Below are 25,988 nucleotides of genomic sequence, written 5' to 3'. Positions count from 1 at the left end.
CCTAAAGCAACCCTGCAACTCAGTTTCAGCCTTCTTCAACCATAGACCAGGGCAGTAATGTTTGCCCAAGGACCCAACCAGTGACCCAGTGGGAAGATGTCCCAGGGACCCAGAGAAAAACACAACTGTCTATGAACCTAGTAATCAAGCCTGCTCTCTACAGACTGTAAAGCTGACCTTCATCCCAGAACTAGCCTTGTAGACCAAAGTCCTGGAGACAGTCCAGTCCATCCAGAGACCAAACAGCAGGATCCATGCCCACTAAACCACCTGGTAACAGGCTGGCCACCCACAGGCCCCACTGCAAAAGGAGTAGCAGCCACATGACCCAGCTCCAACCCCATTAAAACTAGAAGAAAAGAAGGCAAAATAAAATAATTGTGACAGGGCTGACAGGACAATTGTGGATTAAGTCTCAGTTCTTTTTAAAAGGGTTACATTGAAGATAAATCTTGACTGCATCTTTAGAGGAATTAAGGTAACCTTGATGAACAGTAGAAGGAATCACATGTGAAATTCCTTGAATAAAAATTTACTGGCTTTAAATAATTTTGTCTAATATATAACATACAATTTAAAAAACTCTTTCCAAAAAAAGACTAGAAGATATGTTTGCTCCTTCAAATGCAGACACCAACACAAGACGACAGGGATAAAAAAGAATCAGGCAATTATGACGCCACCAAAGGAAACTAATAAAGCTCCAACAATCAACTCCTAAGAAATGGAGATCTAATAACTGCTTGAAAGAGAATTCAAAATAATCATATTAATGAAGTTCAATGAGATGCAAAACAATACAATTAGACAACTAAATGAGTTTAGGAAGACAATGCATGAACAAAATAAGAAATGTAATAAATAAACAGAAACATAAAATAAAAAAGAACCAAGCAGATATCCTGGAGCTGAAGAATACAACAGACCTGAAAAATTCAAGAGTGCTTCAACAACAGACTCAATCATGCAGAAGAAAGAATGTGCAAACTCAAATATAGATAGGTCATCTGAAATTAGCCAATTATAGGGAAAAAAGGAAAAATAATGAAAAAGAGCGAAGAAAGGATAAGGGGCCTATGGGACACCACCAAGCATACAAATATACAAGTTATGGGAATTCCAGAAGGCAAACAGAGCTAGAAGGGACCAGAAAGCTCACTTAAAGAAATCATCTCAAAACTCCACAAATCTCATAAGAGGTACACACATCTAGATTAATGAAGCTCAAAGGATCCCAGTCAAGATCAATCCAAAGAAGAACATTCCGAGGCACATTATAATCAAATTGTCAAAAGTCAGCCAGGTGTAGTGGTTCATGTCTGTAATCCCAAAACTTTGGGAAGCCAAGGTGGGCATATCACTTGAGGCCAGGAATTCGAGACCACCCTGGCCAACATGAGAAAATCCTGTCTCTACTAAAAATATAAAAATTGGCCAGGTGTGGTGGTGCACACCTGTAATCCCAGCTACGTGGGTGGCTGAGGGATGAGAATCACTTGAACCTAAGAGACAGAGTTGCAGTGAGCTGAGATTGGGCCACTGCACTTCGGCCTGGGCAACAGAGTGAGAATCCATCTCAAAAAAAAAAAAAAATACTGTTGAAAGTCAAAGACAAAGAGAGAATGTTGAAAGCAGCAAAAGAAAAGAAACTCATCGCATACAAGAAAACCCCCATAAAGGTATCAGTGGACTTCTCACCATAAACATTAAAACCAGAAGGGAATGGGTTAATATATTCAAAGTGCTGGATTTAAAACAAAACAAAACAAAAGTGCCAATCAAGAACACTATCCTCAGCAAAGCTGTATTACAGAAATGAATGACAAATAAAGACATTCCCAGACAAATAAAAACTGAGAGTGCTCATCACCACTAGACTTGCCCTACAAAAAAAATGCTAAAGGGTGTTCTTTAAGTTGAAACAAAGAAAGCAAATTAACAAAATAAATATATATAAAAGTAAAAACTCAATGGTAATGGTAAATAGTCAAATTCAGAATATTCTAATATTGTAATGGTGGTGTGTAAATCACTGGTATCTATAATATAAAGGTTAAATGCCAAAACTATTAAAAATAATCATAGCTGTAATAATTTGTTAAAGGATACACAATATAAAGGGAAGTAAATTGTGACACAAAAACGTAAAATAAGGCTGGGAGGTGGGGCATAAAAGTGTAGAGGTTTTGTGTGCAATCAAAGTTAAGTTTGTTTTATCAGCTTAAAATGAACTATCATAATTATAACATGCTCTATGTACGCCTCATGGTAACTACAAAGCAAAAACCTATAGTAAATATGCAAAAGATAAAGAGAAAAAAATCAAGACGTATGCCACTAGAAAAAATATCAAATCACAAAGGAAGAAAGCAAGAGAAGTAGAAAGGAACAAAGCCTTCACAAAACAAATAAAATGGCATAGTAATTCCTTACCTATTAATAATTACCTTGAATGCAAATACATTAGAGTCTCCAAAAGGTCAAAAGATATAAAGTGGTTGAATTAATTTAAAAAAGAAGACTTGACTATATGCTACCTATAAGAGACTCACTTCAGAAGCTTTAAGGACAAACATAGAATAAAACTGAAGGGGTAGAAAAAGATCTCATGCAAATGAAAACCAAAAGAGAGCAGGGGTAGCTATATTAACATCAGACAAAATAGGTTTTAAGTCAAAAACTGTAAAAAGAGACAAAAAAGGCCATTACATAATAATAAAGAAGTCAATTAATTCAGAGAATATAACAACTGTAAATATATATGCACCCACCATCAGAGCACCTAAATATATAAAGCAAATATTAATAGATCTGAAGGGAAATATAGAAGGCAATACAATAATAATAAGAGACCTCAATATCCCACTTTCAACAATGGCTAGATCGTCCAGACAGAAAATCATTATGGAAAAAGTGGAGTTGAGCTACACATGAGACCAACTCACACACATACATAGAACATTCCATTCAACGGCAGCAGAATACACAATCTTCTCGAGCACACATGGAACAATCTCCAGGACAGACCATATGTTAGGCCATGAACCAAATTTTGACAAATTTATGGAGACTGAAATCATATCAAGTATCTTTTCTAACCATGATGGCATGAAACCAGAAATCAAAAACAGGAGGAATTTTGAAAAATTCACAAAAATATGGAAATTAACCAACATGCTTTTGAACAACCAGTGGGTCAAAGGAGAATCAAAAGAGAAATCAAAAAATATCTTGAGAGAAACAAAAACGAAAACACAACTTACCAAATCTTATAGGATGCAGCAAAAGCAGTTCCATAAGGAAAACTTATAACAATAAATGCCTACATTGGAAAAGAATAATGGTTTGAAGTAAACAACCTAATGTTATACCTCAAAGAACTTAAAAATTAAGAAAAAAACTAAGCACAAAGTTAATTTAAAAAAGACATAACAAAGATCAGAGCAGAAATAAATAAAATGTAAGCTAGAAAAACATTTAAAAATCAACAAACTAGTTAGTTTTTTTCTGAAAGATAAAAATTGACAAAAGTTTTGCTAGGCTAACTAAAAAAAGAGAGAGAAGAATGAAATAAATAAAATCAGAAATAAAAGAGGAGACATAACTGATACCATGAAAGTACAAAGGATCATAAGAGACTACTGTGAAGATTATATGCCAACAAATTGGATGACCTAGAAGTAAATTCCTAGAAACATATAACCTATGAATAATAAATTATGAAGAAATAGAAAATGTGAGCAGACAGGTAACAAGTAAAGATATTAAATCAGTAATTAAAGATCTCCTATCAAAGAAAAGCCCAGGGCCTGATGGCTTCAATGGTGAATTCTACCAAACATTTAAATAAGCATTAATACCAATTCTTCTCAAACTCTTCCAAAAAGTTAAAGAGGAAGGAACACTTCCAAACTCATTTTACTAAGTCAGCATTACCCTGATATCAAAGCCAGACAAGGACACTACAAGAAAAGAAAATTACAGGCCAATATCCCTAAGTAATATAGATGCAAAAATCCTCAAAAAAATACTAGCAAACCTAATTCAACAGCACATTAAAAGGATAACTCACCATAATCAAGGGGATATATTCCTCGAAAACAAGCATGGTTCAACAGATGCAAATCAATAAATGTGATATACTATATTAAAAGAATGAAGGACAAAAACCATATGATCATCTCAATAAGTGCAGAAAAAGCATTTGACAAAATTCAACATTCTTTTGTGATTAAAAACTCTCAACAAATTAGGTATAGAAGGACTGTATCTCAACATAATAAAGGTCATATATGTTAGCCTACAACTAACACCATACTTAACCTTAAAAAGTTGAAAGATATTCCTCTAAGATCAGGAACAAGATATGGATGCCTATTCTTACCACTTCTGTTTAAAATAGTACTGAAAGTCCTAGCCAGAGCAATTAGACAAGAAAAAGTAAAATAAAATAAAAGACATCCAAATCTGAAAGGAAGAAGTTAAACTGTTACTATTTGCAGGTAACATAATCTTTTATATTAAAAAACACTAAAGATTCCACCAAAAGGCTGTTAGAATAAACAAATTCAGTGAAACTGCAGGATACAAAGTCAACATACAAAAATCAGTAATATTTCTATACACTAAAAACAAACTACCTGAAAAAGAAATCTAAAAACAATCTCATTAAAATAGCATCAAAAATTATAAAATACTTAGGACTAAACTTAACTAAAGAGGTAAAAATCTGTATACAGAAAACTACACAACATTGATGAAAGAAATTGAAGAAGGCACAAATAAATGGAAAGATGTCCCATGTTCATGGACTGAAAGAATTAATACTGTTAAAATGTCCATACTACCAAAAGGGAGCTACCGATTCAATGCAGCTACAGATTCAATGCAATCACTATCAAAACTACAATGACATTTTCTACAAAAATAAGAAAAAAATCTTAAAATTCATCTGGAAGACAAAAGACTCTGAATAGCCAATGTAATCCTAAGCAATAAGAACAAAGTTGAAGGCATCACCCTATCTGATTTCAAAATCTACTACAAAGTGATAATAATCAAAACAGTATGGTACTGGCAAAAAAAAAAAAAGATACATAGACCAATGGAATAGGACAGAGAATCCAGAAATAAACCCAAGGATATGTGGCATTACATGCATTATGTGGCATTATATGCCCTAATTTTCAACAAGGGCACCAAGAAATCATAATAGGGAAAAGACAGTCTCTTCAATAAATATCCACAGGCAAAAGAATGAAATTGGATACTTATCTTACACCATACACAAAAATCAACTCAAAATGAATTAAAGACCTGGAGCTATAAAACTCTTAGAAGGAAATACAGGGGAAAAGCTCCTTGACACTGGTCTTGGCAATGATTAAAAAAAAAATAGGATAGTGCAGGCAACAAAAGCAAAAATAAACAAGTGGGACTACATCAAACTAAAACGTTCCTGCACAGCAAAGGAAACAATCAAAAATAGAAAAGGAAGTCTATGGGTTGGGAGAAAATATCTGTAAACCATATATCAGAAAAGGGGTTAATATTCAAAATATATAAGGAACACACAAACTGAACAGCAAAAAAAAATGAATAAACCAATTTAAAAATGGGCAAAGGATCTGAACATTTTTCCTAAAAACACATAAAAATAACCAACAGATACTGTATACAAAAAGGTGCTCAACAGTGCTAATTATTAGAAAAATACAAATCAAAATCACAATGAGAAAGCATCTCACACCTGTTAGGATGGCTTTTGTCAAAAAGACAAGAGATAACAAGTGTGGGTAGCCATGTAGAGAAATGGGAACCCTTGTACACTGTTGGTGGGCATGTAAGACTGCTGCAGCCACAGTAGAAAACAGAATGGGGGTTCCTAGAGAAATTAAAAATAGAACTACTATATGACCCAGAAAAAATCCCTCTTCTGGATATGTACCCAAAGGAAATGAAATCACCACCTCATGAAGATATGTGCACTCCTATGTTCACTGAAGCATTATTCACAATAGCCAAGTTACAGAAAAAACTTTATCCATCGACAGATGAATTTTAAAACTCATATATATATATGAATATTATTCAGCCTTTAAAAAGAGGGACATCCTGCCATTAAGGCAATACAGATAAACCAAGAGGACATTATACTAAGTGAAATAAGCCAGACACACGAGGAAAATACTGCATGATCTCATTTATATGTGGATTCTAAAACAAACAAAACTAAATACATAGAAACAGAGTAGAATGGTGGTTACCAGGGCAGGAGTCAGGAGAGGAGCTAATGGGAAGATGTAGGTCAAAGGGTACAAAGTTGCAATTATGGAGGATGAATAAGTCTAGAGACCTAAAGCACCACATGATCACCAGGTAATAATGTTGTATTGTATGATGGAAATATGCTAAGACAGTAGACTTTAAGAACTCTATTCACAATAAATAAATACATACATACATACATAAAGGTGACCATGTGAGATGATGAATATGTTAATTTGCTTGACTATAGTAATCACTTTGTTATGTACATGTATATCAAAACATCATAGTTAACACCTTAAATATTAAAAAAGTAAATAAATAAGGAAATCCTGCAAAATGCAGAGCCAACACATTCCAAGTTGATGAGGAGCATGGTCATTTGACCAATTACTTGCACTGAGCTTGTATTTCTCCATTTGGCTATTATGATAAAGCAATATAAACTCCATTTTCAGTCTGGAAATCTTGCCAAAGACAGAATTGAGTTCTGATACAACCTGTCCTTACTGAGCCCACATTAGATGCCAGCCTTCTTCTCTGGGTTCCCATATAATCTGCTTAATTGTCAGTTCTTAAAACTTTTCTAGGATGGGCATTAAGTTCCCCCATCTTCCTGGGAGAAGAATTCACCCTCTTCCCACTTGAAAAAAAAAATCCAAATTTTTGTTCATTTTCATGATTTCTCAAAATCATTTTCTGTAGCTGTTTATGGATTTATTTACAATTCTCCTGGTATCCTGGAATATAATTTCATTAATGCCTAAAGATTTGAAATCCATGAGAGCTACACAATCTTTCATGTATCAGCTATGTTATTACCAAAAGCACTAGAAGATAAAAACCCCAACAAGAAATTGGTATGGACTGCAAACAAACTTCATTAAAACTGAGACAGAGTGAATTAAAAAGAGAATAAGAATTGAAAGCAGTACCACCATATAAAAAGGGCAGCTCTGTGGTTTTAATTCTTTTTGAAAATATACAAAACAGTAACTTGCTTAAATGACTTGGTACCACTTTTTAATAACTATTACATATGAAAACTGCCCATCTTCAGAGTATAAGTGCTTGGCTAAGTTCCGTTCCTGGTCCTCTCTGCTTCTCTCTCTAAATGGACTTATCCTTCGAGAACCATCTACTACTTAAATAACTACAGATTTATGTCTCTAACGTGATCTCTCCTAAAAACTGCAGACTTCTATTTCCAGCGGTATACCTGGCTTTTCTTCCTAGACAGTCCACTTTAATCTCAGGGTCACCTTTCCCAAGCCAAACTATTACCTTTTTTAAAAAATTAAAAGTCCCTATTTTCCCCTTCCTCAATTCTGTTGCTAGTGACATTTACTCTTACCATGCGCCTCACCTGAAATCTAAATAATCTCCATTCTTTCCTCTCTTGCATATCCAAATCAGTCACTAAGTTCATCAATCTTCCCTCTGTAGTATTTCTTGCATAATGCCTTCCTTTACATCTCACAATCAGAACTCCAATTCCACCTCCCATCACCTCACACAGCCTCTACAGTAGCTCCTCCTACCCCCTGACTACTGGTTTTCCAGACTGTAATCTCTCCCAGCTTCCAAAAGAAGAGCAACAAATCCAACTTCCCAAAACATGCTCCCATCAAGTCATTCCCAGAATCTGCTGCTTCCAATGACCTCCTTACTTCCCCATCTGATGAGCAAGGCCATCCCCAGTTCTTGTTTACTCACTGCCACCAAACCTTTGCATACATTGCCAGCTAGCACCCTTTTTACAAATGAATTCAGATATATCTATTCCTTTTTTAGATCTTACCTCTCAGTCAAAGGCATAAATACATGTAGAATGCAGGAATGAATAAAGGCTATCTACAAGGGGCTCAGAGTGAAACTGAGCCAACTCTGACAACTTGCACCTATGTGCAAGACCCTTTGCTAGGCACTATAGAGGATATGAAGATTTGCATTTTGGTTAATCCGGACAAAACCACCACATAAAACATCTTATAGGGAAGTGCATCCCAATTGCCAAAGGAAGTTACAAACTTCTTGCGGAGGAAAAGTCACATAATGGGCTTGATGCCACCTGTATCATAAAATAAGCTGTCTGTCTGAACAGGCACATCAAAACTTGATTGTTTACTTGAATAAATACTGAACTCATTCTAAAAAAAAGAGAGCCACCTAGTGAAAGACAACAACTAATTTTATTTGAATGCAAAAAACCTTTGAACTTTAACCTCCATCTCTATGTCTAAGATGTCTTATTTTTAAAGACAGATTCTTATCTGAGATGTTCACAAATTTTGTTTTAAAGAAGTTAAATGAGATGAACTTTCAAAGATTCTTCAAATTCCTTAATTTCCTATGGGTTAGCTCCCTCTGCATGCCTACTCTAAGTGATTGTGGGAATAGCTGCACCAAATACACCAAAGCATCCTAGTGGAAAATTTGCAAGTGATCTACAGCAGTTCCAGTTAGCTCAAGACCACTAGTAAAGATTTGTGCTTTTAGTGAAAGGGCAGTCCCATAAGATATTCAGTATTCTATGGGGTATCTATGGTATCCCATAGATACCAGTATTCTAGAAAAGCAATGTGGTGTTAGCCCAACACAATACATACCATCTAAGAATTATGTAACCATTTTCATATTAATCACTGCAGAATTATCTAATTAATATTTTATTTAAGACCACTGAGGAGGACGTTTCACATGACAAGAAATACATCTTAAATCCATCTTAGCCTTGCTTTAAAATGCAACCGTATCTATTGTGTACCGCTTTATGATGAATGGGACAAAACCCAAACACTTTTCTTCTGCAATTCATGAAGGAAAGATTACAAAATACTGGAAAACATCATTTCGGTTTTTTTTTCTATGCACAGAGAATGAATGATAAGCCTTAAGCTATCAAAATGGTGGAGATGAGGAGAAGAGATTGACAATCAATGCATACAACATAAGATACTACTGTAGTAATGTGGTAAAGCTATTAGATATGTGAAAGGGGTGATTCTCCTCTACATTCTCTTATGCTGAGTAACAGCTCCCCAGAATAAAAGGGAAAATTTTCCCCAGTCAAAATACATAAATGGAAGACATAAATATTTCCTCTCTCCTAGAAGACCGGCAGAAACAGATGCTTCCAGGTGCTAGGCATTTTCCATTTTGCCAGGGGTAATCTTAGCATGCTCACATTCAATAGTTCTTTGAGGAATATCCAAATAAAATTATTTTAGCTATTCTCATGAAGATATAATACCCACAATCTAAAAGTTAGTAAGAATTAAGGATAAATATTAACAAGTGCTAGGATTAAAATAAACCTTCATAGGGATAAAAGACTACATATTGGGTATAATGTACACTGCTCCAGTGACAGGTGCACCAAAATCTCAGAAATCACCACTAAAGAACTTATCCATGTAACAAAAAACCACCTGTACCCTCAAAACTATTGAAAAATAAATAAATAAACTTTCATGGTTACAAAAAAACAAACAAACAGCTAACACAATTAAGGAGCTCACATTACTAAAATGCTGAATCAAGGCTCAGCCATGTTGTAGTATGTATCAGTACTGCATTCCTTTTTATTTCCCAACAATATTTTATTGTATAAATATACCACATTTTTTGGTCCATTCATCAATTGATGGAAATTTAGGTTTTTTCCATTTTTTGACTGTTATTAATAATGTTCCATGAACATTAGTGTACATGTTTTTATACTGACATATGTTTTTACTTCTCTTGGAAGGGCAGAGCTGCTGGTTCACATGGTAACTCTGTTTAAGAACTGCCAGACTTGTTTTCCAAAGAGGCTGCACCATTTCCATTCCCATCAGCAGTGTTTGAGGGTTCCAATTTTTCCACAACATTATTAATACTTGCTGTTACCTGTCTTTTTGATTCTAGCCATCCTAGCGGGTGTGAAGTGGTATCTCACTGTGGCTTTGATTTACATTTCCCCTGATGGCTAATGATGTTGACATCTTTTGGCCATTTGTCCTTATGGCCCATTTGTGTATGTTAGCTCTGGATTTTTCATAGATGCCCTTTATCAGGTCAAGGAAGTACTTTCTATTCCTTATTTAATGAGTGTTTTCATCCTGAAGGGGTGTCGCATTTTGTCAAGTGTGTTTTCTGAATTTAAAGGTGATCAAGTGGTGCTTGATACCAGCTGTTTTTGTTTTGCATACTTATGAAGTCTACACAATTCTAAAAATGTGTTATGCATTTCAGATTTTTATAAAAAGGTTCAAATTTAAATGAAGTATACATTCTAAAAATTATGTCCGTTAAACAAAAATTATGGGAGCCCATTGTTTTAGACTGAGCTTCTGCACCCAACCCCAAGAGACCAGACCAAACCAAAATGGAGTCACTCAAGCTAAATGCCATATAATCAAACTGAAACGTTAAAGAAGCAGATAGATCCCAAAACAGATTGGGTTTTCCTGAAAACAGGAGATTCCAGTCGACCTGAGTCAGTGCAATAAAGAAGTCTCCTCTGCTTTAACTTGCAAAAGAGTCACCGGAAGTAACCTGATGTTAACCAGTTTCTTTTTTTCTATAGTTGTTTCCTTGTTCCCACTTTCCAAACCCACTGTTCTGCCATTGCTCAGTGGGAGCTCTCATTCTATTTTGTTGAATGGAGGCTGCCCCAATTTATGAATCACAAATAAAAGACAATTTGATTTATAACTAAATTTGTCATAATTTTGTCTTTTGACATGTCTATAATAAACATTTGGAGAAGTACATCAGTAATATTTTGGAAAAAAATTTATTATGAAACCTATATAAGGACTTTTGAATGGTAAAAATTACAGGTTTTTTTTGTTTGTTTTTTTTTCTTTTTTGTTCTACCAGTCTAATTTTTTATGGTCCTACTTTTTCAGACTACTTCTTGGCTACTTCTGTTCTTCAGAACAGCAACCCAAACACACACTCAAAGTCTATGGACCACTCTACATAAGCCCAAATTAAACACAATTTCCATGTAGTTGAATATTACAGAAAGCAATTCAAATAAAATCGAAATAAAATCAGAGGATCTGTGTTCAACAGACAAAATCCAACCAAACCCATACAATAGTAAAGAGGATAATAACAAGTAGTTTCACAGATAGTTAAATATATCTAAGCCAAATGGTTTTTAGGAAACCTGTATGAAACCTTTTAACTCAGTGAACTACTTTCTAGTATTTAACAAAATCATTTAAAACAATAAGCTTTGTCTCCATGATTATACACAATCATTTTGTCAAAATATGTGAACACAGACAATGGCGTATTTTCCCCCTTGTGAAATTCAAATCTACTTGGAAATGCCATAATCTGTGCAGAATTTTTCAAAAGATGCTAAAAATATGTAAAGTATATTAAACCAGTCCAAAGTAACAGACCTCCAAAATAATTAATGTACATTTTGAGGTTTTGGAAACTGTACTGGCTAATGTGGCTGTTGCCAGCTAGAACTAGGAGATCAGGAAAAGCTTTCATGAAGAGTGTTTTACCATAGAAGAGAAACATTATAAGTAGCTCATCTTACACAGTCTTATTAAAAGAAAGCCTCACTAATATTAAGAACATTTCTTCTCTTTATTCTCAATGTTTACATTCAACCACTGAGTCTTAAAATACAATGAAGAAAAAAACATGCCATTATTACTAAAATAATGTCAAAAATATCATTTAAAATCAATTTGGTGGACAAATATCTTCCAGGCATTAACCGAATCACGTATTTTCTAAAAACAATAACACTTAAATACAATTTGCTTAATTTTATGTTGTGTGTCCTCATCTCACCCCACTCCCAAAACCTAAACACCAATTTAGATTTTTTGGTTCATGTTTAACTCTCCTGAGATTTCCAATATGGCATATATTCTCAGAATTTCATTCTACCTCTTTTCGGATACATAACAAGGAGAAAATGCTTACAAAATTATAGAGATGTACAAGAACATAGACTATTGCATCATAGAAAGATGAGTCACTTTCCTCTTCACCCCAACGTTCAGGATCCTTACACACTGGGATTGCACCACATGCAATGCAGTGGCCAAAAGGGACTCTTCTTCCACAAAACACTGCACTAATTCTCCAGTATTCAGCTTTTCCACTTGAATGGAATAAAAACCCTTTTGAGAACAACAATTACAATCCCCCCATTTTTTTCTCAGGCACACTATTGGACTTCTTAGTGCATGCACAATGCAAATAAGGCAAGCTTCCTTTCACAGAGTGATTAATATGCAAAGACAGCCTGCTTTTTTAGTAGGATGTGAAGAACCACCAACAAGCCTTTCTAAGCCCAGAGGTTTCTACAATTATTTCCACTGTTTATTTTTAAACAGAAGATTACACAATAACACCAAGCGCTGTAGCTCTAATTTGCCAGTATTTTGTAAACAATGACAATTTAGATTTTTAAACCTTTTGTATCATATTTAAATCTGTGGTCAACTATTGATTCCAATGTATTAATTTTTTTCCAAATCTAGGAAACTCATTTATATGGGACAAGACTCAATCTATACTTTTCTATTAAGAAATTGCACTTCATTTTTAAATAGTGAATGATTTTCTGGCATAAACTTTTGGAAAATGTGGTGATTTTTAAAATTTTTTATAAATTCCAAATGAAGACTAAGAAATGACATTTCTTTCGTGGTGAAAACCAGAAAATCTGCTAGACAAATTATAAAAGAGCTATAATACTAGAAATTGCATTTTAATAGTAATCCATCTCACTTACACATATGCTTATAAAGATTGCGACTTTTCCAAATTGTTATTAAATCACTATAAGACTATTTTAATAGAAAATTTAACAAAATTTGTTCAATAAAACAATGCTACAAAGAAAATAATATCTTTGTAGAACAGACTAAACACATATGCACATTTAAGAAGCATCTCTAATCACATTATTTCCCAGGTGATTTTTTTTTTTTACCAAAGTTTCCAAGAAAAAGCAAACTTATCTGATACAGCTGTTAGGCCTTCCTTAATAAAGATTTCACTTGTCTCATCATTTTTGGTTTTGGACTGTCTTCACCCACAAAGTATCACGACACAATTCTAATCATAGAATTACCTGACGTTTGCACCTAATGCTTTAAGGAAAAAATCATTGAAAACTCAAACATTTTGCTCTGAATATAATTTTTTAAAATCAATGCATTAAACACCAAAATGCAACTCGATTTTTCTGTTCTTTTTAAAAAACAACTTCTACAGATATAGTTTTAAGATAAAATGTTAGATATGGATAAGACTTACCACATCAAATTGCATTTTAGCCAAAATATTTCAAAAATATATATAGATCAATACCTATCATGGTCTAAATCAAACCGATCTTCTCTCCAACAGTCCCAAATCCCAAGATACATGACTCGAAACAGACAATAATATCTACATACCTTCAGGTTTTATAGAATAGATATTAGCATCATTTCAAGAACATCAACAAGTCATTCCAGACATTTTTGTTTCCCTGTGAAGTTTCAGTGTCCAGCTAGTCCAAGGCACTTAAGCACCTGGATTCTCCAGACAGCCGCAGACATACAACCAATCCCACCAAATCAATCTGTAGGTTTAAATTGTTTTCCTCCTTTGTACTTCTAAATTCTAAAAGTTCTCCTCCTTTGTACATTTAATAATTTTCAATTACTAAAAATTTATAATTAAAAAATTGATTTATTTGTTCCAGTCTATAAATAAATAAAAAGATGAAAGTGAAGATTAAACTCACAGTGGAACTCATCATTTTAAATCTCTCATGTTGAGCAAGTTAAGAGTATATAATTGTATATATATTTTTATACTCACTTATCACAAACAAAAAGTTTAGTATTTAGAAATACATTCATAAATTGTTAAAATAACTGCACATATTTATAATTTATGTTTTCTTAAAATATGTCCAATTGTACTTTTATTATTGTGACTAAATAACTTTAACTGGGGTTTGTTTGTGAAAGCTATTCTCTTAATATTGCACAGGGCAGCAAAAATATAACTCAGTAATATATTGATTTACCTCCCAGTGACTTCAAAAGTATCTACTGTGAATATCACTAGAACACAAAATAGTGAATGATTTTTCTGGTTTCCTATTTAGATACAAAACTACCCTTAAATGCCTAAATCAATTATTGTGTGAAATGTTTATATTCTCAAAAATAATGCATATGTCTAACTTGGCTATAAAGGAATACAAATAATAAAAATATTCTTTTTATAAGAAGGAAGGCAGGCGAATGAACTGCCTTCATGACCAGTTATCTTAATTGAGTCTGACTGGTAATTTAAATTCTGATTCCAAAGCCAATTTAGTTCAAAATGACCTCAAATGGTAACCTAGGGCAGTTAACTGACTCACTTTCAATCCCTTATCTTCAAAGAAAATCACATAATGTCCCTTTTTTACTTCATTATGACAGATGGTTTTCTTTGATGAAAATTTTAAATTTTAAACGTGATGAGTAACTTTCACTTACACACACAAAAGGAAAAAAATGCTGAGAAAATAACAAATAACTCTTATTTATCATTTTCTGACATTTCAAGATTGTCTTTTGTGTCATTCCACAGGCATAAATATTACAAGTATAAACAAAAAACTTTTTGAACGTGGTCTAGAATTTTTCACAAAGCTGAATGGTATTCATCTTTCACCTCCAATTCCTAGACCAACTACATAGAATACGGGAGTTATTTCATAAATACTGGATTAAGTCAATGTTTCTAGTGGACATTTAACTACCCAACAAGTCTGAGACATGGCCACTTGCCAATGTGTTCATAAAATTGTTCTTGTTCTGATTTGCAAAATCACTGCCAAGTCCACGTCTTTCTATCAAAGAAATGTGGAATCTCAGGCCACCTTGGAATCTCTTGAGAATGCTTCAGTTCAGAAAAGTTTCCTCAAAACTCTTTAAATTGTCAATCCCTTGAAGTTGTCTGAACATTCCTCTGTTCGGGTTTTTGCCTTTGATGCACCCCTAGAGCATGTCCCTTTTCCTTTAAGAACTGCAAGCTTCTTTCAGTCTCAACGATCCTACCCTAAAACGTGCAAGATAAAAGACTTCAAAAAAGATTTTAAAAGCCCGCTTTGGACTTTAGCAATTAGAAACCCTGAAGGAGATAGGTCATCAGTGGGTTCTGAGTCTGCTCCAAAATTAAAGTCAATAGAGCCTCTGATACCACTAATTCAAACACACACACACATACATACACACACACACACACACACAAACTGTAAGCTACAGGAGGGTGGCAGCCATATGTCTCTTCTCCCATACTCCCCTCACCTCAGCAGAAGGCTCAATTTTTATAAATAGAGAGATTGAACCAGATGCACTTTGTCCTTGCATATACCAGACTTTGTTGAGGGCAGAAGCACCCTACTGAAAATAGGAGAATTAAATGAAGTCTAGACTACAGAAGAAAAAATTACCCCCAATCCATTTCTTATTCAGCTTAGAGAAAAATAGTAGTTGGACTTATACCGTGCCTGCTGCAAAATTTTGGATTCTCTTAAGTCAATCAGTCCAAAAGAAAATGTAAGTACTCATGAATATACATGGATGTCCCCCACCCAATAAACCAAGTTTCTGCACAGTCTTTCAGTGTGTGACATCCCACACTGAGCCCCACAGCTCTTCAGGGTCTCACTCTTTACTAATAGGCAGCCAGGGATCATTAGAATTTGAGGAGTTAAATGAAACAACATGAAACACAAAAGGAGATACAACAGCAAACATAATAAAGAGGAATTCAGACAAAAAGAGACAAGAAGCAAGAGAAATGTTATGAACTCCTCAGCGATATGAAAGATATTGCATCAAGAAAGAAAAAGATGCTATGCTAGCTCTTCAGAGGCCTCTTTCCGTTACTTCTTCATTCTTCATGTTTCAAAGAATCAGGGTTGCCAGGTAAGTGACTTCCAGATTAAGTGACTTCCAGATTAATGAAGTGTCACCAATATGATCTTTAGCAGCAACCATTATTTAAATACACTAAATTTTATGGCTCAACCATTATAGTGAATTGACAGATTTGATATTAACCCTATGCAAATGGAAAGGAGAATCTAGATAAACCACTTTTAATTTTTTAACTATTACTTTTGTCAAAATCAAGATCTACTAGGCTTTGCTTTCATAGGAGGTAAAACAGCTCCACAATGAAGCATGGCATTTCCAACTCAGTTGCAATTCACAGTGATCCTGAACTCTCAGAACATGAAAAATAAATGGAAAATGTGATTCTCATTAGAATCAATACTTAAATCCAACGCGAATTGTATATCCCTTCACTGTGAACTTTAGCAGAAAGAAAGGATATGGGAAAAAATTGCTGAGCTCACTATGTGCCAGACAGTTGTATAAACTACCTCATTTCATCCTCACAATAACCCTATTAGTTAGGTATTATCCCTGATTCACAGATAAATAAACTGACCGTTGGAGATTAAATAACTGGCTCAAGGTCATGAAAAGCAGGAGAGTCACAGTTCGAAATGTGGGTTTGATACCAAAGGTCCATGGGGCACCCTGTGCAGTATGCACTGCCTCCAACACCAAAAGGAGATACTAAATTCAGAAAGAAAGAAAGATAATTTATAATTATGTACCCAAACCAAAGAGCTTTCATTGGATTTCCATCTTCTTATGCCCTTGATAACAGGCCTTTAAGGCTGCTTAAAGTACACCTTTATGGAGTACTGTAAGTCCAATTCTCATATAGCAATTGCAGCTTAACTGGTGACTGGCAGCCTCTCATGTGAACAGAATGGACACTCAAATTGAAAATGACTAAACGAACATTAGAAAAGTAATCAATCACTCCTGTGCTGATCTGATAAAAACAGCACATCCAATTTGTGACATGCAGAACAAGCTTCAAAAGATTTTGCTATAGAAACATTTTTTAAAGGTCTAGAAATAAATGTATGAACACCACAGGCAATGAGGTAAGAAGACAAAACTGAATCTAAAAATAATCAACTCATATGATAAATGAAGTCACTGGGGAAAACCCTTAACTTTATTCATTTCCTCTGGCATAAAATTGTCCTGTTGTCCTTTGCAAAGGTTGCTCATCACCTCTCCCCTCCCTCTGGCTCTTTTCCGTGGTGATGCATAGTTCAATGCGCCCAGGAAGCTTCATGATGAGGCCGTCACCCAAACTAGCAGCCCTCCTTTCCTTCTTTCTTTGCCAAGTGTCCTGGACATCAGCTCTTCCTCAGTCTTTGACTCTAAATAAAGAACTTGAATTTCACCATTCAACTGAAATCCCTCTGACATCACTACTCTCCTCTGACACAAATCCCAAGTTTCTACTTAATTCTCACCTACTTTATACTTTTAACCACCCTTAGTACTGCTGCCCTTGTTTTTACTGCACTATTTGTTTTGCAAAGCAATATGTGCTCATTATCAAAAACTCAGACAACATAAATAGTGATTTACCGTCTTCCAGTCTTGATTACAGGGTGAGTGAAAGACGTTTTTTAACAAGATTGGGATTATACCTATATATATTATTTGTTTCCAACTTTCTTTCACTTCACTTTATTATACTTTTCTAACCTAGGCTTTTGTGCCACTAAGCTCTGGTTCTCTTCATTTGTTCACTATTACCTTCTGAATTATAGGCAAGATATCATTCTGTGTGCTACATAAACACTGCCACATAAATACTTGTGGGCGTGATAAAAACCCCGCAAAGTACTGACCATAACTCATGGTGTTTTTCTCTCCACTGAACATATAAAAATATAGATTACTACCATCTTTGAGTCTTCCTAGTCTCTTTAACTGGGATTCCTCCATTCACCTCCCAAACAGGGAACACACATACTTACCTCATCAACCCTTCCTCTCAGCGGAGATAAATTCTTCCTTCAAAGTCTCCTTCAACTCTCACCTAAAGTTGTGTGAATTCTCCAGTGTCTGCATATTTATTTCATTCCCTCAAGCTTATAACTTTAAAGAGCTTTCTCTCTCTCCGTCGTCTACCATTTGGGATCCATCATCCACCCTTGCTGGTTGCTTTGTTATTTCTAACATCTCAGCTATGCCCCTTTTATCCTTATCCAAAGTCATTACAAGTGTGTCTTTCCAAAATTATCTGCTTTAAAAAATATACCACAGTTGGGTTTCTTTAATCTAACAAGGACCTCTGGCAGTACACAAAATTTGATTTTTATATAATTTTCAGCTACATGTCTACTAATAGAATGTACAGCTGTAACCACCCTCTGGTTCCCAGGCAATATTTATCCTGACTCTGAAACATTAAGTGCCTCATATTTTGGCTGTAGATGCTACCTGGTATTCCCAGTTATCTTTTCATTCCCAAACAGACAGTAAGATCTGTAAGGTCAAGGTACCATATTTAGGGCACAATGATGTGCACCTTCAGTCCCAGCAACTCAGGAGGCTGAGGCAGGAGCCCAGGAGTTTGAGGCCAGTCTGGGCAACACAGTGAGATACCATTTCAAAAAAAGGTATAACATTTAGAGTTTGATTTGTTTTGTTTTTTTCACACCCTGTCGTTAACTGACTGCTTAGATGCTCAATACGTAACTTTGCTGTCATTTCTTCCTCCCCACCCTCACAACCCATTCAGTTTCTATTCTATACCTTCTGACGTACTCTTACTCCACTACAGACTGCTTCACCCTCTCTTTGATCCCACATTCTTCCTTCGATGACAGTAGCTTCCAAACTCTTTTGACCTGAGCCAAAAGAATGTATTTTCCATTACAACCAAGTTACATATTACACAGAGAGAGAGAGAGAGAGACAGAGACAGAGAGAGAGAGAGAGAGAAATTGAAGTACTCAAAGCAGTACTTACCCTTATATAAAACACACTCTCTTTTTCCACTTCTTCCCTCCTTCTCTCCCTCCTTCCTCCCCTTTTTCCTTCCTCTCTTACTTCTTTCTTAATATATATGGAAGCCCGTTAAACAGATTTCATCATCCATAGTTTGAAAAATACTGACCTACAAGTTAAGGTATTAGGAGGCCCAAACTTTTTCTAAAACCTAACCTGTCTCTTAATTTCTCCATCATATTTACAGTACCATGATTATTTAATTTCCTCGAGTTTGTAACTTCAAAGATCTTTCTCCCTCTCAGTCATCTACCATTTGGGATCTATCATCTACCCTTGGTTGCTTTGTTATTTCTAACATCTCAGCTATGCCCCCTTTATCCTTATCCAAAATCATTACAAGTGTATCTTTCCAAAATTTCCTGCTTTAGAAAATATATCATAGTTGGGTTTCTTTAATCAAACAAGCACCTCTAGCAGTACATAAAATTTGATTTTTATTTTTCAGCAACATGTCTACTAATAAAATGTATAGCTGTGAAATATTTCATTTACAATGCATTTCCCATATATTATCTTATTTTGTTCTTATATTCGATTGCGGAAGTTACAGTTCAAAGAGGTTACATAACTGATATAAATTCACTTGGCTAGTTAGTAGCAGAGCAACTTCTTGAACCCAGATCTTTCGAATCTAAGCCCAATGGTGTCCTTTCCCCGCATACAGGTGTTCCTACTGATTAAGCAAGATACTTTCATTGGACTTCACTAGCCTCCCTTCTCCTAGTATCATCTAGTTGATGTTTCATACAGCAATAAAAATCCCTTCGTTAGCCCTTCATTTTGTCCGACCACCATAGTGGATGCTATATAAAACCAGAATTCCCTTTTAGTGCTGCAATGAACTATATGAATTTGTTCCTACTTAACTCTCTGCTAATTCCCAGCTAGTCCCAAACATAGAGCCTGAGGCAGCACACGCTCAGTTGCTATTGTTAACTATCCTCTTAAACATATATATATATTTTTAATTTCTCTGTCATCTCCAGCAGGACTCCTCTCCTTTGTCTGACATTTAAGATTTAAATATGGCTTGCCCCAAGTTCCAGCCTTTAACTGCTCTTCAATAGCAATTCTTTGGCCAGATCCACCTCATCCTATAGGAAAACAGGCCCTCTCTCCCTATTTACCTTCATATCTGTGGAGGTCCAGGTCAGTTCTAGCTTTTCTATACCTCTTTTTTCCCCCAGACATTAAAACTAATAGACATGATTTTTGCCTCTCAATTTTCCCAGTTTTTACCTGCCTGCTTCATTCGGGCACTTACTGATATAATATCTTTCATGATTTCTTCGCAGCTTGAACTAAGCAAAAGTGCTTCCTCTCCAACCACCTGAAAGGGTCAGTATAGTAACCTTAAATTTATTTTGTTTTTCCTCTAAGCCTCTAGCACAGAACTTTGCACATCATATTCAGAGTACTGTACACCTTTTTAAACAAACATTTCAAATAAAATATCTGACCACAGGGAACTTTTTTAAAGCACATAATGAGTACATACTTTATATCTGCTTTACATATGTGGTTTTATTTCAGCTCACCAAGACCCACAAGGGAAGTGTCATTAACCCCATTTTACAGATGGGGAAACAGGCTCAGAACGACAGCAACTTGCAGAATGGCAGGACGGTTCCTTCAGACCACAGCTCTGAATAGTGCCCTTCCTCCCCATCACTCCTCCCACACTTTGGTCAGACTCAGTCCAGAAGCCACAGGAATTCCTGTTTGCTTGGCATGTATTCAGATGCTATATATATTCAAATTATCCTTGCCTTAGAAAAGGATAAAATTCAGACAACGAACGTAAGTTGCAGTCCCAGCTCCACCTGCCTAAGTCATTTAACCTTTCTCAGTCTCAGTTTCCATTTAAAGACTTACAATCTGGACTTGCAGAATTTTTTTTTCTCCTTATCTCTGGCTACTCCTCCCCACTACTCTCACACTGTTCCCCATGTACAACCAGATTCAGATCTCAACCACTGCTCAGGGTGTCTGCTCTGCCCAGATCACCCCTTCTTCCTGCTCCATCTAATGAAAGCAATTCTTCCCCAAGCCCAGCTCGAGGGAGTCCCAGGCAGAATTAATTGCTTCCTTTCTTGTGGCCCAACAGCATTTACTTCATGCCTCTGTTTATAAGTATAGTATGTCTGTCTCCCCTCCTTCCAGGTGGTAAGCTCTAAAGGCAGATGTATTATTTTCCTGGACTTCATAACGTGAAACTCCACACGATTCCTGAAGCTATCTGACCTTCTCCAGACTTCACAAAGGTTTGTTGAGTTAAGGAATTCAGGAATGTTTGTTGTAATTCAATGTTTGTTGAATTAAGTAGTCAATCAACCATGCCCTAAAATGAGAATACCATCTGTTCTTCCTATTTCACAGTTGTTTAAATGTTACATCTTCACCTCCCCAACCACCCAATCCCCCTTGATAATCTCTCATCCTGGGTTTTTCTTAGACTTGAATCTGAATATGTAATTATAAATGTATGTGTTACTTTTTAATGTCTATATTTCTCTGTACTACTAGACTGGAAACTCCATGAAAACAGGGACGATGTACGTTTAGTTCACCGCTGTATTCCCAGCACCCAGCACAGAGCACGTACTCAGTCAATATTTACTAAATAATTAGTGTGAAGATTAAGCACATATCAAAGTGTTTTGTAAACCATAACGTGATGATTAAGATATAATTATTGGTATTATATATCCAGTTTATCTCCTTTTAGATAGCTAAAACAAAATCTTCAGTCTCCTCTCCAATATCATATGCCTTTAGCTGGCAAAACTACTTCTTGCCCTGCCAATCGGGCACTTACATCTCACTCATTTGAATAATAATAGCAATTGCTTTATTTTCTTCTAGTTAGTAATTTACAAGAATATCGGCAGTGACAAATATCAAATCAGCTCAGATCTCATTTAAGATCTTCTGTCAAATAAAAGTGAAATACTTCTTTCTAAAAATGACTTTGACTTCAATATATGATTCTAATCTTCAAAGCACTACACATACAACCTCTATGAGGTCCACGTTTAATAAACTGGAACGATTAGTTTATATTCCCAAGCAAGTGGGTCCAAGTGGACCAAAGGATAGTTGCTAAAGAAGGACCAGAAGTTTTCAGGGTTCCTCAACTGCATGGACTCCTTCCAAGGCTCTGGGGGACTGGGACTTGGCAATGTGTTCTCATGGTCATGTATTCAACTAACCTTCGCAAAAGCAAGAAGAGTTTTGTATTTTCCTTAAAGAAGGCCCTCAAAATTATATACCCTTCAGGCCCAACAAGACCTAGATCCACCCTTGTGCTGATGGTTTTCAACCTTATAATCAGGCCATTTTTTTCTCTGAAGTATTCACAACCAACATGGAATTGCAGGCATATTTAGTGACCAATTTTTTAAGCCTAGTTCTAATCTCTGAAGGAGTCCTGTGTATCATAATACCCTTTTTAAAATCCTTCTAAAAAGAGGGCACTATGTCTAAATAATTATTTTTTCCAGATCCATATATATCCTTCTTGCTCACTAATGAACACTGCCTACATGCACTGAAGTCCTAAGATCTCTAAAATATTTATAACTCTAACAAGTAGGCATTACTAATTTTCCGATCTCACGGAAGAGGAAACTGAAACTTGAAGGAGTTAAATCATTTGTCTGAGATCAGACAGCTAGTAAGGGATATGTCTGGGGTTTCAACCCAGGGTTATCTACCTCTCTTAATCTCTAGTCTCTACTACTCCCAAGGTTCCCTGACAGCAGAAATTATGTCATCTCACTCCTTTTAATTCCCCACAGAGCAGATGATAAAAAGCTGGCACTCAATAAACATATTTGATCAACTATTTAAGAGAATACCTAATGTAACACAATCTCAAACAGTGTGACATTACTATGAATATTCTTAAATGATGAGGTAATCAGATACCAAAGGAGGTGATTAATGTACAACAAAAGGCATTTTACACCTTATCTCAGGAATGACGCCAAATAGAAAACGGAAGATCAGCTGTTACCCATGTTTGCAGCTACAAATCAAAAAGTCCTCAGAGTACGAAGTGGAATATAGGTTACATAGAAGCCTTTTAAATCATATCAGCCATGCAATCTTTGAATTCAAGAAAGTGTTACGTATATATGGAAGAAAATAGAATGCATAATGGGTTTATTACAATCTGTTTTTCAAAAGCACACATACACAAGATACACCAAATAGCTTATCCTTTTAGTGCAGTCCTCTTGGAGTCTCCAATTGCTTAGAAGCTAAATTAATACTGCAGGAAAGGAAAAGTGTGTCTACCCAACTGAAAATCCGTTAACTCAGTGGCTGCATGTAGACATGGCCTGAGCATGTTTTAAATGTAACGTATTGAAACTGCCTGAAAGGCCGCCATTTGGCACCCAGGCCAACATCAAAAAGCAATGCTCCTAATGAGCATCTGCAGCTGAGAGACAGTATTTCAACAACATGAAATGAAAAGGCATAATGGCACCACTGCCAACGCCAAATAATTTACATCCCTTTACATCAGCAAATGGTTTTAAGGTTTGGCCCCAAGAGTTAATAACAAAAGAGGCTAGAGGTAACAGGACTATGACCTTCAGATTGACTTCTGTATTCTATTACCCTACAGTAAGTAGTAAGCATATCTACCTGTATTGTTAAAAATAGTTTCACTACAATGTTTTCGAATAGTGAAAACTCTGGAGCTCATAGAAACCTAATCATTAGGATTCAGAGGTCCTTGGACATTTCCTCCTTCCTAAAAGACCATCTCTTACAGCATTGCTCAGAGTCACTGAGTATATTATGAAAAGTAAAAAATTTTCTTCTTCGAATTTTACTTAGAATTCTTTCTTTTTAACCAAAGGAATTTTCACCTTAGTGACTTTTATTAAAAGCTCAAATGACTTCATTTTATACAGCCACGTGATTAATGTTTTCAATTTTGTGTAATTTGTAACCCAGTTTTAAGATCAGTAAAATGCTCCCTGTAATGTGCTGCCATTTCTTTTAAAGTTCCAGACATTCCTTAGTCTATATGTTATAACTGCTAAACTGAAAAATGATCAATTATGGAATTTACATTAAAATATTTATCTTGACACCAGAAAACATGTGTGTGCTCAAAAAAGCAATGCTGAACTGGTGCAGGAGAGCCTTTATAAGATGTCTTTGTCTCCTCCTAGTCTATGATTCTTCCCGCAGACTGACGGGGGCAGGTGCGATCCCTTCTCTCCCTGGCCTGCCAATTGGTTCTGCTCTCCATCACAAGCTCAAGATCCTAAAAGTGCAACCCGTTCTTTAGCAACAGGTACTCAATCACTTATTTTACACTAAGTCAGAAAGGACTGTCTGTAAAATGTCTTTGGAAGCCTGCCAGTAGTATTGAAGCCACTTTCAGTCTGGAGAGCAGCCACAGTTCTTTAATACTAAAGACAAAATTATGAGAAATTTATCAAACTCATACTTAACAGAGGCTTCATCACCTTGAAAAATTAAGTGGTTGCATCAGAAATTCCAGAGTCCATTATTTAAGCAGTGTAAATTTTACAAAATGCTCTCTATAATTTGAGAAACTGGGTTCTGTAGTGAACAAAAACATGTCTAAAGATTAGCTTTTGAGTGACAAAATGGTGCTGTTTACTTTGAAAGGCAATTAAGACATTGTTCCTTGTGACAGAAAAATACAGATATAGGTTACTTCCATTAAATTACATATTACCTATCTGAGGAATTCAATTAATGATAAATGGATTCCAAACAGAAGCACTGTTCAAAACTTGGAATTTGGGGGTGCTACAGACTAATTTCTCCTTCTTATTGCTGCCTTCAGTAAACACCCACATCCCTTACAAATAGCACACCCACATCATTTTTTTTTCAGTTTTGATGTGGGATTTTTTTTTCTTTGCAATTACTATCTTAATTCTTGAACTATCAAACTCAAGAAACCAGTCACCAGTTAAATCAACATATTCTTAGTTTAATCAATTATCATTGTAAGACTTAGAGGAAACTCCTTTACTAAACAAGAATATGTCCTGCTATTTTCTGGTATTCCATTTTTAAAAAAAAAATCCTAGATAAAGGTATCTGGAAGGAAGTTATCAGGTTCAACAATTTAGGGAAAGAAAGAGGGCGTTCATAAAGCATTAACTTAAGAAAACAGTTAAAGACTAATGGAAGCTTAGCTAGGTTAGCAGATCTTTAAGACCTTTATAGAGGGAATAGTAACTCAAAAACTTACATAAATCATAGCCCACACGTCTACAATGTCTGGATTATATTCCCTGTTTTTAATAACTCTGTTGGATTTAAAACAAATTATCAGTTATTAATATTTCTAAATATGCTAGTATTTATTGAAAGAAAATAATCTTTCTAGGGTTTGGTTAGAGTTGTGAAAGGTTTTCCACATTCTTATATAGCCTTTATTACATTCAGTGAAATTCTGTTTAAAAACACACATTCTCAGTCTTCAAATGAAAATCAACAAAAATATATGGCTCACTATAACTGTGCTCACAGTCAACTTTGTGGAAGCGCACCTTAATTTGCTTAGTGAGAGATATTATATATACTACTTGATTTCAATGTTAGCTTTTGTAAAGTAGCTCTTTGTTCTTAACCGATGGTATCTTGTTAGAAACCCAGTCCTATCCATTCCTTGACTCTTGCAAGTTTAACTGGCAGAAGACTGCAAAATTATCAAGTAAACATGTGACTTAACCATTCCAGATCGTTCAAGCGAACAATTCTTCAAAACATCCAAAATTTATACTAGAATAAACTCAA

At 35.3% G+C, this 25,988-nt stretch overlaps 1 protein-coding gene and 1 pseudogene across 31 annotated transcripts in view; both read right to left on the bottom strand.

Annotated features, from left to right (window-relative positions):
• NCAM1 (neural cell adhesion molecule 1) overlaps positions 1–25,988 on the bottom strand; it is a 317,017-nt gene that overhangs the window by 288,092 nt on the left and 2,937 nt on the right. The window lies entirely within an intron of this gene.
• RNU7-187P (RNA, U7 small nuclear 187 pseudogene) lies at positions 12,925–12,992 on the bottom strand (annotated as a pseudogene).

This window comes from Homo sapiens, chromosome 11 (genome assembly GCF_000001405.40).
Source record: "Homo sapiens chromosome 11, GRCh38.p14 Primary Assembly".
NCBI lineage: Eukaryota > Metazoa > Chordata > Mammalia > Primates > Hominidae > Homo > Homo sapiens.
Note: the sequence above shows the minus strand (reverse complement) of the source record. Positions and strands in the feature narration are given on the sequence as shown.